At 37.4% G+C, this 13,579-nt stretch overlaps 1 protein-coding gene across 16 annotated transcripts in view, besides 1 other annotated feature; it reads right to left on the reverse strand.

Annotated features, from left to right (window-relative positions):
- The window catches only part of FYB1 (FYN binding protein 1), a 169,277-nt gene that overhangs the window by 47,026 nt on the left and 108,672 nt on the right, over window positions 1-13,579 (reverse strand). For all 16 annotated transcript variants that reach the window (XM_006714464.4, XM_047417073.1, XM_047417072.1 and 13 more), the window contains one exon: window positions 1,171-1,327. In XM_006714464.4, the coding sequence (XP_006714527.1) occupies window positions 1,171-1,327 (157 nt within the window). The remainder of the gene's footprint in view (window positions 1-1,170; window positions 1,328-13,579) is intronic.
- Window positions 5,870-6,164: an enhancer, noted in NCBI's record as "tiled region #14991; HepG2 Activating non-DNase unmatched - State 10:DNaseD, and K562 Activating DNase unmatched - State 5:Enh". NCBI's record gives its function as "activates a minimal TATA promoter and a strong SV40 promoter by Sharpr-MPRA in HepG2 and K562 cells {active_cell/tissue: HepG2 | K562}" and the evidence as "EXISTENCE:reporter gene assay evidence [ECO:0000049][PMID:27701403]".

The following is a 13,579-nucleotide window of genomic DNA, read 5'->3' on the forward strand; positions in this document are numbered from 1 at the left end:
ATTAAAGTTAAAAAATGGTGGTGTTTTTCCATGACGAATATGTTTTCTATCCTTTCCCTAAATTGTAGTCATCAAGCATGTCAGGGAATCTGTCAATCCAATATTGTTATTAACAGTTTCCATTACATGGATTATGGATATTAAGTATTTTGTTGTAAGGAACATCAATCTGGTAGGGGAATTTAAGTGAAGGAAAATCAAATTGTACTAAATATGTTGAGATATTACTTATTTGTGATAAAGGAGAATCATGTTAAGCAATTTTCTACAAGAAGAAAGGGAATATCTAGTCCATTTTGTCTTAAGGATTTATGCTTGCCATTGTCTGAATATTCTTAAAATGACATTCCATTTTATTCCAACCTGCCACTCGCTTTTTCCTTTACCAACTTTTCTATTAAATCCTGGATAAAGAGCCCATGCATAGCAACCCCTACAGTGCTGACATTTCTGAAAAATATCATCTAAGAAAATTCAAGCAAGAGCAGGCTTGAATAAAAGTTTCCTAGATGTTAACGCCCAGCCAAAAATTCTGATGGATGAGAGAAAATCTGTATTATTGTTTAATTAAAGGAGGCTATTTAGCATAGTAGTTTAAAGCACACTTACTTTGGATTCAGACTACATTGGTTGAAATTTTTATTCTACACTATTTTGTGGTCTTGGAGAAGTTACTTGGCTTCTTTGCAGAGCTAAAGTTCCATTTCCTCATCTGTGAAATAATGATGATACTATCTAATCAATAAGGTTATAGAGATGATATATGTAAAAGTCCTAGCACCTCATAAGCAGTCAGTAAAAATATGGTGATGGAGTGGTGGTGATCGTGATAGTGGAGGAGTTGGAGATGTTGATAGTGGAGGAGTTGGTGGTTCTCAAGAAAGCTTCAGAACTTTTTAAAAAACAGTGGAAATTTGCTTCTATAAAGGCTTAAGGGGAAACCCAACATAAAACAGATAAATAAGAATGGCTCAGAACTGAGCAATTCTAGGGGTATTTGCACTGCCAGCTTGGCCAGCTCGGCCAGCTCAGCCAGCTCTTCTCCCTGCCAGCTGCCCACTTTTGTAGACCCAGAAGTTTCCCATGGAACTCTCAGCATTTGACCAAGCACAGTTTGAAAATCTACGGCAAGAGACTAGGAAAGAAATCGCAAGATAATCTTTTGCTTACTTTAGGTCAAACGGAGGTTTAATGTTTCTGGGAGGTAGGCTTGGGACTGGTGGTTGTGATGGGTGAGATGCTGGCAATGGTGGTTGGCTGGCCGGATGGGATGGTGGAGGTGGTGGCAGGGAAGTTGTTGAGTAAGACGTCTGGCCTTTGCTAGTACCTAAGAAGCAAAGCAAACAATACCATGAATTAAGACAAATCTTCAAAAAGAAGATTGTTAATTGCAAACATAGTTGGCTACAGATAAAATAATTTGGCAAAAATTAACAACTGGCTATATGGAATTTTCAATAAAGAGTATGTTTATTTTATTATTATTACTACGTTGTGTGCTGTATATCTTTTGTGAGACAGGGTCTAGCTCTGCTACCCAGGCTGGGGTGCAGTGGCTCCATCATGGTTCACTGTAAGCTCAGACTCCTGGGCTTTCGAGATCTTCCTGCCTCAGCCTCCTGAGTAGCTGGGACTACACGCGTGCACCACAATGCCCATCTAAATTTTTTTTAAAATGTTATACTTTTTGTAGAGATGAAGTCTTGATATGTCACCCAGGCTGGTTTTGAACTCCTGGGCGCAAGCAATCCTCCTGCCGTGACCTCCCCAAATGTTGGGATTACAGGTGTGAGCCACTATGCCCGGCCTTATTCATCCTTTACATCAATAAGATGTATTACATATATGTATATACGCATAACACACATACACACAGTGTTTTTCCTGGTTGTTAAACATTTATCATCAGCATACCGTTGCTGGTACCTAAAAAATTTCTAGGTTCTATCTGCTAAATAGTGACTAGAATCAGTTGTTTCTATATCTTTCCTCTTTGTTTTGATCCTCTTCCTCTCACTCAATCCTCCATCGACTTTCTGGTTTCATATATTGGGCTTTGGAATTACGCAGGTTGCCTTGTTTTCCTAAATATGGAATTTTAATTTCTTTCTCATTTTGGGGTGATTTTCTGAGAGGAAAAGAGGATATCTTGACAAACATTTTGTTTTAATTTTACCTGCCTTTGAGTACAAATGAGGTCATTTTTTCATGTTTATAACCATTTTCCTTTTTTTTTTTTTTCCTTGTGAGAGGGAGTCTAGCTCTGTCGCCCAGGCTGGAGTGCAGCGGTGCGATCTCGGCTCACTGCAACCTCTGCCTCCCAGGTTCAAGTGATTCTCCTGCCTCAGCCTCCTGAGTAGCTGGGATTATAGGTGCCTGCCACCATGCCCAGCTAATTTTTATATTTTTATTGGAGACGGGGTTTCTCTTTGTATTTTTAGTAGAGATGGGATTTCACCATGCCCGCCGCTGTGCCCATCTAATTTTTGTATTTTTAGTAGAGACAGGGTTTCACTGTGTTGACCAGGCTGGTCTTGAACTCTTGACCTTGTAATCCACCCGCCTTGTCCTCCCAAAGTGCTGGGATTACAAGCGTGAGCCACCTCGCCCGGCCTCCTTTTAATTGTATTATTTATTCAAATACTTTGCCTATTTCAAAATTAGTATTTTCCTTTTCTTGGTTTCTAAAATATTTTTATTAAGGATATTAATCTTTTTGTTTCTTAACTGGACCAACTGAATGTAATTAGGCTGCTTTGGATCCTGCTTTTGCCTGTCCATACATTAAAAATATAACACAACGAAGAAAGCCTCTCTTTACAAACTTCAAAAAAAATACGGCACTTCACTGTAAATTTCCTTAGAAGGGTAATGCCAAGGTTTTACACAGCATGTGACACAAACACATTCCTAATTTCTTCTAGATATTTCTCCCTCTTGCCAAAGCTCTTCACTTAGGGTAATTGCTGACCATATTGCCCTCTCTCTTCATTCTCTGACCTCACCCTAGTGTTTCCCTTCTTCCTGGAGTCTTAAAATCTGCTCAGGCCCTGCACTGCAGACTCGAGACCCTCTAGGCCAGGTACAGTTCCCACAAGAATAGTTCTTCTTTTGCAGCTATTTTTAGGGGATAGAGGTAGACAGAATTAGTTCCCCTATAAATCTCATGAATAAAAAATTCCAACTCAAGATATTTATGTTAGAAATGTTGAATCCGGTTCGTTTTTGTCCTAACTAAAATAAAAATTTTTGGATATATCAGACTTTTCCTCCAGTCTATTCAATCAATCCTTTCGTGTATAATTTCTGTCACTACATTATCTTTAGGAAGGCCTTCCCTAATTTGAGAACAGATAATTATAAACAGTACATTTTCTCCTACTTCGCTGTGGCTTAGTTTTTTTGTTGTTGTTGTTTTTTGTTTTTTAAATTTAACACTTTAAAATTATTAGTAATTTATTTTGGAGTTTGGTGTGAGATAGAGATTTAATTTTATGGTGATTGTTGTTGTTGCTCCTAAATCATTTAGCAAACGTTCTGCACCATTTGTCTGATAAGCTATTACTTACCAATTTGACATGCCTCTTTTATCATAGAATAAACATTAAAAAGTCTAGTGAATGTGACAGATGAAAATGGCATCCAGTTATTTTAATTCATAAATAATATGGTTCAGTAGATTCATAAATGATTTAAAAGCTGTACCCAAAGAGAATACGCCTCTGTGAGTAGATGTTAATAAACCGTCCAAATAGAGAGAAAAATATTTATTAGCCATCTGTGACTTATCCTCTCATGGAAAAGATTTTGACAAGCAGGAGGCATTACCCTGGGAGAGTGACTTAAGGCCGACAAGTGAGAAGTTATAGAAATGGTGTAGGGAATGGTGAGTCCTTTGAATTGGAAACACTGAAAACTGACTTTCCCAAACCCAGGCTTTCTGCCTTTACACAGGCTTATGAGACTCTAATGGGCCCTCTGTGGTTCTGCTTACTCGACATCTATTCTCCTTTCTGTGGTTATACTAACTTGAGAAACCCAGGAAGGGGTGTGCTTGCTCTTCTACCGGACTTGGAACTAGAAGGGGGTCCTCCTTGAGTTGCCAGCAGCAGTCTTGCCACTGCCAGAGTAGGGCTCGCCTGAGAGTGCAGCAAAACCAGAGGGAAGCAGGGCAAGAGATGGAAAGGGACTGGTTAAATTTTTAAGAAAAATTAGTTTTGGACAATTGTCAAAGATAGTTTGAAAGACATAATGAGGCACTAAACTAATTGAACATACTCTTCCTCATCAAGCTTGGGAGAACATATGCTGAAGTCTTCCTATGTTACACTACTATGTGGCAGTGAAACACTTTGCTTTGCAAAACGGGTGGTCACTTTCAAATACTGCTAGGAATACATTTGCATGTATACAAAATAATTCTAAGGAAAAGCATCTTAGTTTTTCTGGAGGAAAAAACCAGTTAGACTTACTTTAATGTCTAACGATTGACATTAGAGTCTAATGATTGACTCTAAAATCTCAATCTGGACTTTATAAAGTGTACTAAAATATAATTAGAAATATTAACATCCTCAAAAGCAAAAATATGTTTTTATTCTGATGGAAAGAAAGGGGATGAATATTGAACTATAGTAAAATGAGCAAAGAAATAGAAACAATAAAGATAAAAATATCTGGGAATAATGATATTAAATAATATTAATTAATCATGCAATTTTTGGCAAGCACCATACTTGGCATTCTACATATGTAATCTTATTTATTCTGTATAACAGCCCTATGGGGGTATATGTTATTATCTAGCTTCCATTTGATAGTTAAGAAAACTACCCAAGTTCAGAGAATTAGTAAGCCGTAGCGGTGGGTTTCAAACTTGGCCAGAATTTGAACTCTAGTCATTTTTTTTTATGATGTCTATGCACTTTCTGCTATGCTCTACTGCTTCTCAAGGTAATTAAATGAAAATTATTACTAAGCTAAAATAGACATTAGCAAACTGTCCTACAATCTGGGCATAAGTTCAGCTTTTTTGATTTGTATTTTTCCTCTTAGTGTGATTTTATGAGTGTTTTCAGTTTAATGCAGGAAAGACCTGGCTCTAGAGACTGTAAGGCTCACATATCGGGGTGTTCTTGATGCTAAATTCAGATGCCTTAGAATTTGATTTTGGAAACCAGAAAGCAGGGATGTAAACATTCAAGCTAGTAGGAAATAGGCTCTTAAAGATGAATGACTGATAATAGCTGGTTGGAAAAAAAAGCTCTCAAGAACTGAAATCAGGGAATTTTGAAATAGCATAAAAGAACTTAGAAGATACAAAATAAGGGGAAAGAGCAAAAAGTTTAGACCTCAGTTGGCATTACAAATTGGGGATGTGCAATTTGAGAGCTAACACCTAAAACTCTGATCTAATTATGGACCTCATCTCCCAAAGCTCAGGGGGGGAATGCCTGGGTATCTGTGATTTGAAAGTACTGGAACTGAAAAGACCATGTAGAATGTTTTCCTCAAAGAAAGACAGGATTGTGCAGGGGTATGGATCCCTGTAGTAGTGGGCAGAGCTGGTCTTCTGGACAGTGCAGGATGGTTCAGCAGCAATGAGCTAATCAGATGAATTTGCAACCTACTACCCACTGTTGTCCTGAGACAGACTGAGGAACTGTGCTCTGAGCATTTTAACAGGAGATCAAGGCTTCAAGAAGGACATAATAGGCATCTTGCTAATAAGTCAAGTGGGAGCTTGAGTGACTAATGACAAAAAAAATTAAGGAAAATTGGTTGTATTTATATTAGGGAACAGTTTATAGCAGTTACAGAAAAATGGGGAGAATTGCGAATAACAGGGAGTGAAATTGCAATATCTTCTAGAACACAAAAACAATTCTTAAAAATCTAGGAAGTTAATAACCTCTGACTCAAACTTTTCATCCTTTTTAATTGTGGAAGTTTGGAAGAGATCTTGCACAAGTCACGTTCCCCTGCTCAGGCATGCTGGAATGGGCGGAGCACCGGGGCCATTTTATCATGAGGAAATGACCAGGAGAGACTTTCCATGAGTCAGTGGGTGCTCAGTGGTTATCTGGCCCTGCCTTGAAGAATTGTTCCAGGTTCACTGAAATGCAGGCTACCCAAAATGGTGAGATTTTGTCAGGATCTAAATCTCTATAAACAGAAAAGTGGATTTGAGGGCAATGGAAGATGGAGCAGGGACAGAAGAGGTGGAAATGAATAGAGAGGACCCAACGAGGGTGGTGGTATACTCATGGGAAATGGAAATTGTATTACTTCACAAACTTTGCATTTTATGTATTTCTGTTGGTCAAAAATGCTGGTTCTGGATACTTTTACAACATTCTGGTAACAAAGATCTATGAAGACTTAGGATATCTACCTTGTAGATTCTAATGTTTGTGACTTTTGACTAAGAAGGTACCTAAAGTCTTCATGTCCCGAGGGGCATAAGGAACATGTGGAGATCTGGTTCTCAATTTCATTTTTAAATCCATGGATTCCTTAACAACACCAAAGACGTTATACCATATTGCTGCTCCCAATTGCCACAAAACCCTGACCCTAGACTTGGCATTTCTAATTCTGTTTTTCTTGGGGTATCTTAGACCAGGCATTAGAAAACTTTGATTTTATCTCCAGCTCTATCACCAAAGAGCTATTTGTCTTTGGCAAATCACTTAATCTCCATGTGATTTAGTTTCTCCATCTGTCAAATGGGAGTAATCGAGCCCTAACTACCTCAAAGGGTTTAAGGATGAAATAAGCTAATACATGTGAAAGCATCTTAAAAAGTCTGAAGCATTGCATAAACATAAAAGATGGTCACACAAGGCTGAGGGGTGCCACATATAAAATCATTTCTGTTACTTTAACTTAAGAAATTTGGAAATTATTTAATTTCATCATCTATTTGTTTGAGAATTATTAAGCATTTGTCTCAGATTTTAGCCGTGGGCTGGCAACTCGGCATATAGACTTTTATTTTCTCTGGGCCAGTATAGGTACATAGCATTTCCCATTCAAACAAGAAGAAAAGCTCTAGCAACTACATGGCGCTGCCAGAGTCTGTATTGGTGAACTCTGCACTAAGTAGTTTGTAAAACTATTTGAGTGGACACTTAATGGAATCTCTTATGGTTGCATGGCCACATACAGTCATTTGCATCTAAAGTAAACACAGAATTTCTCAGGACTGAGTCTCACTGAGATCTTACCACATTTACCATAAAGGTTGTTTGTAATCCCCTTCATTCCCAGACCCTACCCTTGCCTTCCTCACGTACTACAGATGACCTTACCTCTTATTTTACTAAGAACATGGAGAATGCCCCATCTGACTATCTCCACTTGCCCTGCATTCTAACTGAAAATCTCCTGATATCTTGCTCTCCCGTTTTTCTATTGCTCCAGATTCTCTGGAAAGATGGCATTCCTCCTTGCACATTCTAACAATGGCATTTTAGTTCCCATCAGTGCCTGCTTCCTTGTACAGCCCACTCCCTTTATTATTAACTCCTTCATTGCATCAAGCAAGAAACATTCACTAAGCACTTACCATGTGCTCTGAACTGTGCGTTTCATCTTTTCAATGCACTTTCCATCTTAAACATGGTCTGATATCTTCAACTCTATAGAAGAACAACAGTATCCTTTTTTAACCTCTTCCCCCACCCTAGATACCAGCTGATTTTGTTCCTCTTCTTCATGGCCAAACTTCTTGGAAAAAACCCCTACATTTGCTACTTCTATATCTTAAATGTGTTTGGATGGCCTCATGGAGAAGTAAAGAATGAAAGGCTTAGGTTTAAATTCAGATTCAACCACTTTTATATCAACCTTCCAGTTTTTATTACTCAATATGAAGACTTGGTTAAGTTGCTTGACATCTCCAAGTCTTCATTTTCTCATCTGCGAAATGGTCACATACATGCACTCTGCAGAAGCATCTGACACATGGTATGGTAGTTCTTAATAAATGGTCCTATTCTTCTTAGCTACTAATTGATCTGGCTGTCCCATTCATACACTACAGTCTACTCCCCTCAATTGCAAAGAAAACAATAAACAAACAGAAACCACTTTTTCCTCAAATTAGTCATGTCTAATCCTAGATTTGTTCGAGAATCTTAGAATAGTCTAAGAATGAAGAAGTTTAAATCCCTAGATCTACCCCAGTAGGCACCAAAACAACCAAATACTACTTCCAGATTCTTCACTCCAAAACACACCAGAAACAATTTTCAACATGAGGATTTGAAAGACTGGCAGAAAGAATGTTTGTGCTGAAGTTATTGAGGCCAGGGCTTGACTACTAATCCCACCCAGTATTAGCTGTAAGGCACTGGGTAATTTATTTTGCTTCTCTGGGTTTTAGATTCTATGCCTATTAAAATGGGACTACTGACTCTTAACTTGCAGGGCTGCTATAAGAATTCAAAATATGTCTATCTGCCAAGCACACAGTAGGTATTCAGTGCTACTTATGAATTACTCTAGGAACTAAGACAGTTGTGTTCTGTATGGGATAGGCGCTTTAAAGATCGATAGGACATGTTTATTTCCATCTGTGCAGAGAGATTGGGATCATCATACTTCAGTAACTTTTATTAGAAGTTTTCTAAACTGCCACCTGTGCTCGAAATGACATGCTAATTGCCACACATCTGACCATTCTGTTAAAAGCAAGATTTAAAAAAACTGCCTGCCCTTTTGAAGTGTGGTGTGGCTGTCCTGTGATTCCCTGGTGTTATCACCTAGCTCAGAGAGCTCTCTGTTTGTACGCAGAGCACTGGTATGTGTTTTCTCACACCATTTTTATTTTATTTAAAATTACCATAAATTACTTTCTCATTTATTTATTCATTTTCTTCCTAGCTAAACAGTGAGCTTCTGAGGTGGGTCTCCACTGTCAACACCTGCGTATGCCCTATGACACTGCATGTATCACACATTTAATGTTTCACTGATTGATTTTCTTTTTCTTTTGTCCTTTTTCCATTTAGAAAACAAAAATAATTTAAAAAAGCAAACTGTAAAATAAATATCTGCACAGTAAAACATTTAAGAAAATATAGGAGGGAATGCTGAAAAGAAAAACCCCTGTTCTAGACCCCCATAGTCTAGTTACAAGCCTCAAAGACAACAGTTGTTACTAGTTTCTTAGGTATATTTCAAGAAATATATTCTATGTATTTTTTTACAGAAATGGAACCATGGTATATACATTATTCTGTACTTTGCTTTCTTAACTTAATTTTAAAAAGATGTTATATATTGGCACAAAAAGAGCAATCTGGTTTTTTTTTTTTTAAATGACAGTGGAGTTCTCCATTGCATGGATTTACCTTATTTTATGTGACCAGTCTCATTATTTCTGGTCACTTAGGTTATAAAAATAACCACTGAAGTATAAGTCACATAAATAAACTGGTTTAAAATATACAACTCCATGGTATTAATATATTTACAGTTGTGCAACCAGTACTATAATCTAATTTTAGAATATACACATCACCTCAAAAATAAACCCCTGTACTTACTGGCAGTCACTCCCCATCCCTATCCCCAAACCTTGCTGCCATAGGCAGCCAATAATCTATTTTTGGTTTCTTACAGATTGGCTTATTCCAGATATTTCATGTCAACAGAATCATACAATATGTGGTTGTTTGTGACTAGTTTCTTTCACTTAGTTGTTTTTGCAGTTCAATTATATTGTAGCAGATATTAATATTACTATCTTATGGCTGAATCATATTTCATCATATGTCACATTTATTTATCCATTCATCAGTTGATGAACATTTAAGTTGTTTCTATCTTCTGCCTGTTATACAGAATGCTGCTATGAACGTTAATGTATGTCTTCGTGTGGACCTATGTTTTCATTTCTCCTGGGTAAATACCAAGAGTAGAATTGCTAGGTAACTCCATATTCAACCTTCTGAGGAACTCTGGATTGTTGCTTATTTTATGCTATTTTAGACAATTACAATTATAAAATTTTTCTTGTATGTATGTCTTTGACTGCAAGCATAAATGTACCTGTAGGATAAATTCCTAGAAAGTGAAATCGGTAGGTCAAAAGAACTGAGCATTAAAATATTTTGGTAGGCTGGGTGCTGTGGCTCACACCTGTAATCCCAGCACTTTGGGAGGCCGAGGTGGGCAGATCATGAGGTCAAGAGATCCAGACCATCCTGGCCAACATGGTGAAACCCCGTCTCTACTAAAAATACAAAAATTAGCCAGGCGTGGTGGCGCTTGTCTGTAGTCCCAGCTACTCGGGAGGCTGAGGCAGGAGAATCGCTTGAACCAGGGAGGCGGAGGTTGCAGTGAGCCGAGATGGTGCCACTGCACTCCAGCCTGGGCAACAGAGACGCCATCTCAAAAAAAAAAAGTTTTGGTAAGTAATGCCGTTTAGTGATTTTTTTTTTTTTAAACAAGTGGGAGAATACCTGTTTTACCATAACTTCACTGGCATGTATATTATCACACATTTTTGGTCTTAATAATCCTGATAGGTAAAACATAAATGCTATATCAATTGGATTTTCATATTTATAAGTGAGACTGAGCATTCTTTCATATGTTTATAAGACATTTTATTTGTGTGAGTATGTCTTCTTTATAAAGAATATTAGAAGTACAGCATCCTATTTAATTAAATAGCTGGAAAAATGAACATTCTCTTTTATGATTGGTATTTGATATAATACAGAGTTTCATATACAATACAAACATATTAGTAGATATTGTTATGTAGGTAAAAGTATCATTAAAAATTTTCAATCCTCGGCAGCCTTCAAGTCTAAGGACTTGAAACGCCTGGGTCACAGACTTAGAAAATCTAGTTTTACGGAATTTTTCCTTGCCCTAATTCAAAGCCATCTGCTCTTATCTTCAAAGGATTTGTAAACCATTGTGAATGGGAAATTTTGAAAACCAATTTAGTTGAAAACAAAGCACTGTAATTATATTAGTATGAAATCTTTTGCTTTGAATGCAAACTGCCAAGAAAATGTTAGGCAGCTTAGAACAGTCCAACAAAGTGGAAAGAAAAGTAATACTGAAACATCAATGTTTACATAGATAATCAAAGCTGAAATTAGAATGGAGGTGAAGAGGTAGAGATCAAAACAAATCTAATGATCAATGAGAGGAAAATAAGTACAGAAAGGCTTTGATCACTGTCATAAACTCTTCCAACTCAGATCTAACTTTAACATTCAATGTCTCTGAATAATTTTTTCAACAGTTAAAAATTCACCTCCCCAATAACTTTGTTGGTTATTCAATTATATGTAATCATGAAAGGTAAATTGTTTTTATAAATGAGTTTATTCATTTTCCAGTCATAAAATAATATGAAATTCAAATTAGGCGGTAATTAGACAGGATATTGCTGACTTTTGGATCTTTTTTTGGAAGGTTAAGTGTGACTTTAAGAAGGAAAAATGTCAGCATATAAGAAAAGTTCTTTGTCAGATGCTCATAGATTACAGGGTGTCTCTTCCCTCCTCTAAGATACAACATATTTGGGCATAAGGCAATAACTGAATATTCTTCAAATATGAAAAGTTATTTTAAAAGTGTACTAATAACTTCTATAGGAGCAAAGAAAGCACTAGAAATCAAGTTTTAGAAACATCCTCAGATGAACACTTTCAATTTTTGAGGGAATAGTGAATGTTTTGGCTAAATCAACAGTAGAAATCCTTTGAGAACACTTTTAGGATAAAATCAATATAAGCCAGTAATATAACATCTATAAGCAGAGAAGGAATAAACCTTGATGTGCAGAGGCAATAGCACATCCTCAGGGAGAGAGAGGGGCAAACAGAGGAGAAATAAAGCATGTGCTCCAAATTCAGCTGTCTGTGGGTGCCAGGCAGGAGCATGCCTGTGTGCACTGAGCTGGGAGCACGTGACCATGGTGAACAGGAAACTAATGCCCTGTCTCAGTGGGTGGCCACTGTGGGGCTCCAGCCCACTGTAAATATGTGAAGAAAAAGACTAGATTTTTCTATAAAATCCTCTACTTTTTGAATGTTGGCAACTATTAAAACAAAAGAAATCAATCAAACAAAAAACTCTGCACACCCAACACAGCACATTTTTGGGCTACGTTCTTTTTTTGTTGTTGTTGTTGAGATGGAGTTTTGCCCTGTTGCCCAGGTTGGAGTGCAGTGATGTGATCTCAGCTGACTGCAACATCCACTTCCCAGGTTCAAGCGATTCTTCTGCCTCAGCCTCCTGAGTAGCTGGGATTATAGGTAACCACCACCACACCTGGCTAATTGTGTATTTTTAGTAGAGACAGGATTTCACCAGGCTGGTCTCGAACTCCTGACCTCACGTGAACTACCTGCTTCAGTCTCCCAAAGTGCTGGGATTACAGGTGTGAGCCACCATGACTGGCCTGTGCTACATTAATTTATGACATACACCCTTTTTAAGTAAAGAAAGAGAAAGCCTCGCAAAGAAATTTTAATAAAGGAAATTGCCTGACCAGTGTGGTTCATCCAGGAAGCAAGCTTTTCCTTGCTAAAACTATGAAGTTTTGAAAGGGACAAATTAGACCATTAGACCAGGCAAAGAATTGTAATGCACTGGAGAAAGAACTAGAATTGCCAACAAAGAAGGCAGAGCTTCCCTGTAGTGCCTGGACAGAGCAAGTGTTCTTAGCGTGACTCAAAGGGAGATAAAGTGACTATGACTCAGTAAACCTGTAAGAAGCACAACTACATATACAGACATGTGACAAGAGAAGGTACTCAGTTAAGTTAAATATTTGCTACTTTTGCTATGGCAATGACTATTGTTGCCATTGCTTACAAAAAATAATCATAAAATTCATATGGAAGCAAAAAGAGCCCTGAGTAGACAAAGCAATCCTAAACAAAAAGAACAAAGCTGGAGCCATCACATTACCTGTCTTCAAATTATACGACAAGGCTATAGCAACCAAAACGGCATGGCACTGGTATAAAAATAGACACATAGGTCAATGGAATGGAATAGAGAGCCCAGAAAGAAAGCCACATACCCACAGCCAACTGATCTTTGACAAAGTCGACAAAAATGTACACTGGGGAAATGATACTCTATTCAATAAATGGTGCTGGGAAAATTTGACTGCCATATGCATAAGAATGAAACTGGGCTCCTATCTCTCACCATACACAAGAAATTAATGCAAGATGGAGTAAAGATTTAAATGTAAGATCTGAAGCTATAAAAATACTAAAAGAAAACCTAGGAAAAACTTATGGTCATTAGCCTAGGCAAAAATTCATGGCTAAGACTTCAAAAGCAAATACAACAAAACCAAAAATAGACAAATGGGATTTAACTAAACTAGAAAGCTTCTGTCAGTAAAAGAAATAATCAACTGAATAAGCAGACAATCTGCAGATTGGGAGAAAACATTTGCAAGCTATGCATCCAACAAAGGACTCATATCCAGAATCTACAATCAACTCACAACCCCCAAAATAATTTCATTAAAAAGTGGGCAAAGGACATTGAACAGATATTTTTCAAAAGAAGACACACATGTGGC

This window comes from Homo sapiens, chromosome 5, assembly GCF_000001405.40.
Source record: "Homo sapiens chromosome 5, GRCh38.p14 Primary Assembly".
NCBI lineage: Eukaryota > Metazoa > Chordata > Mammalia > Primates > Hominidae > Homo > Homo sapiens.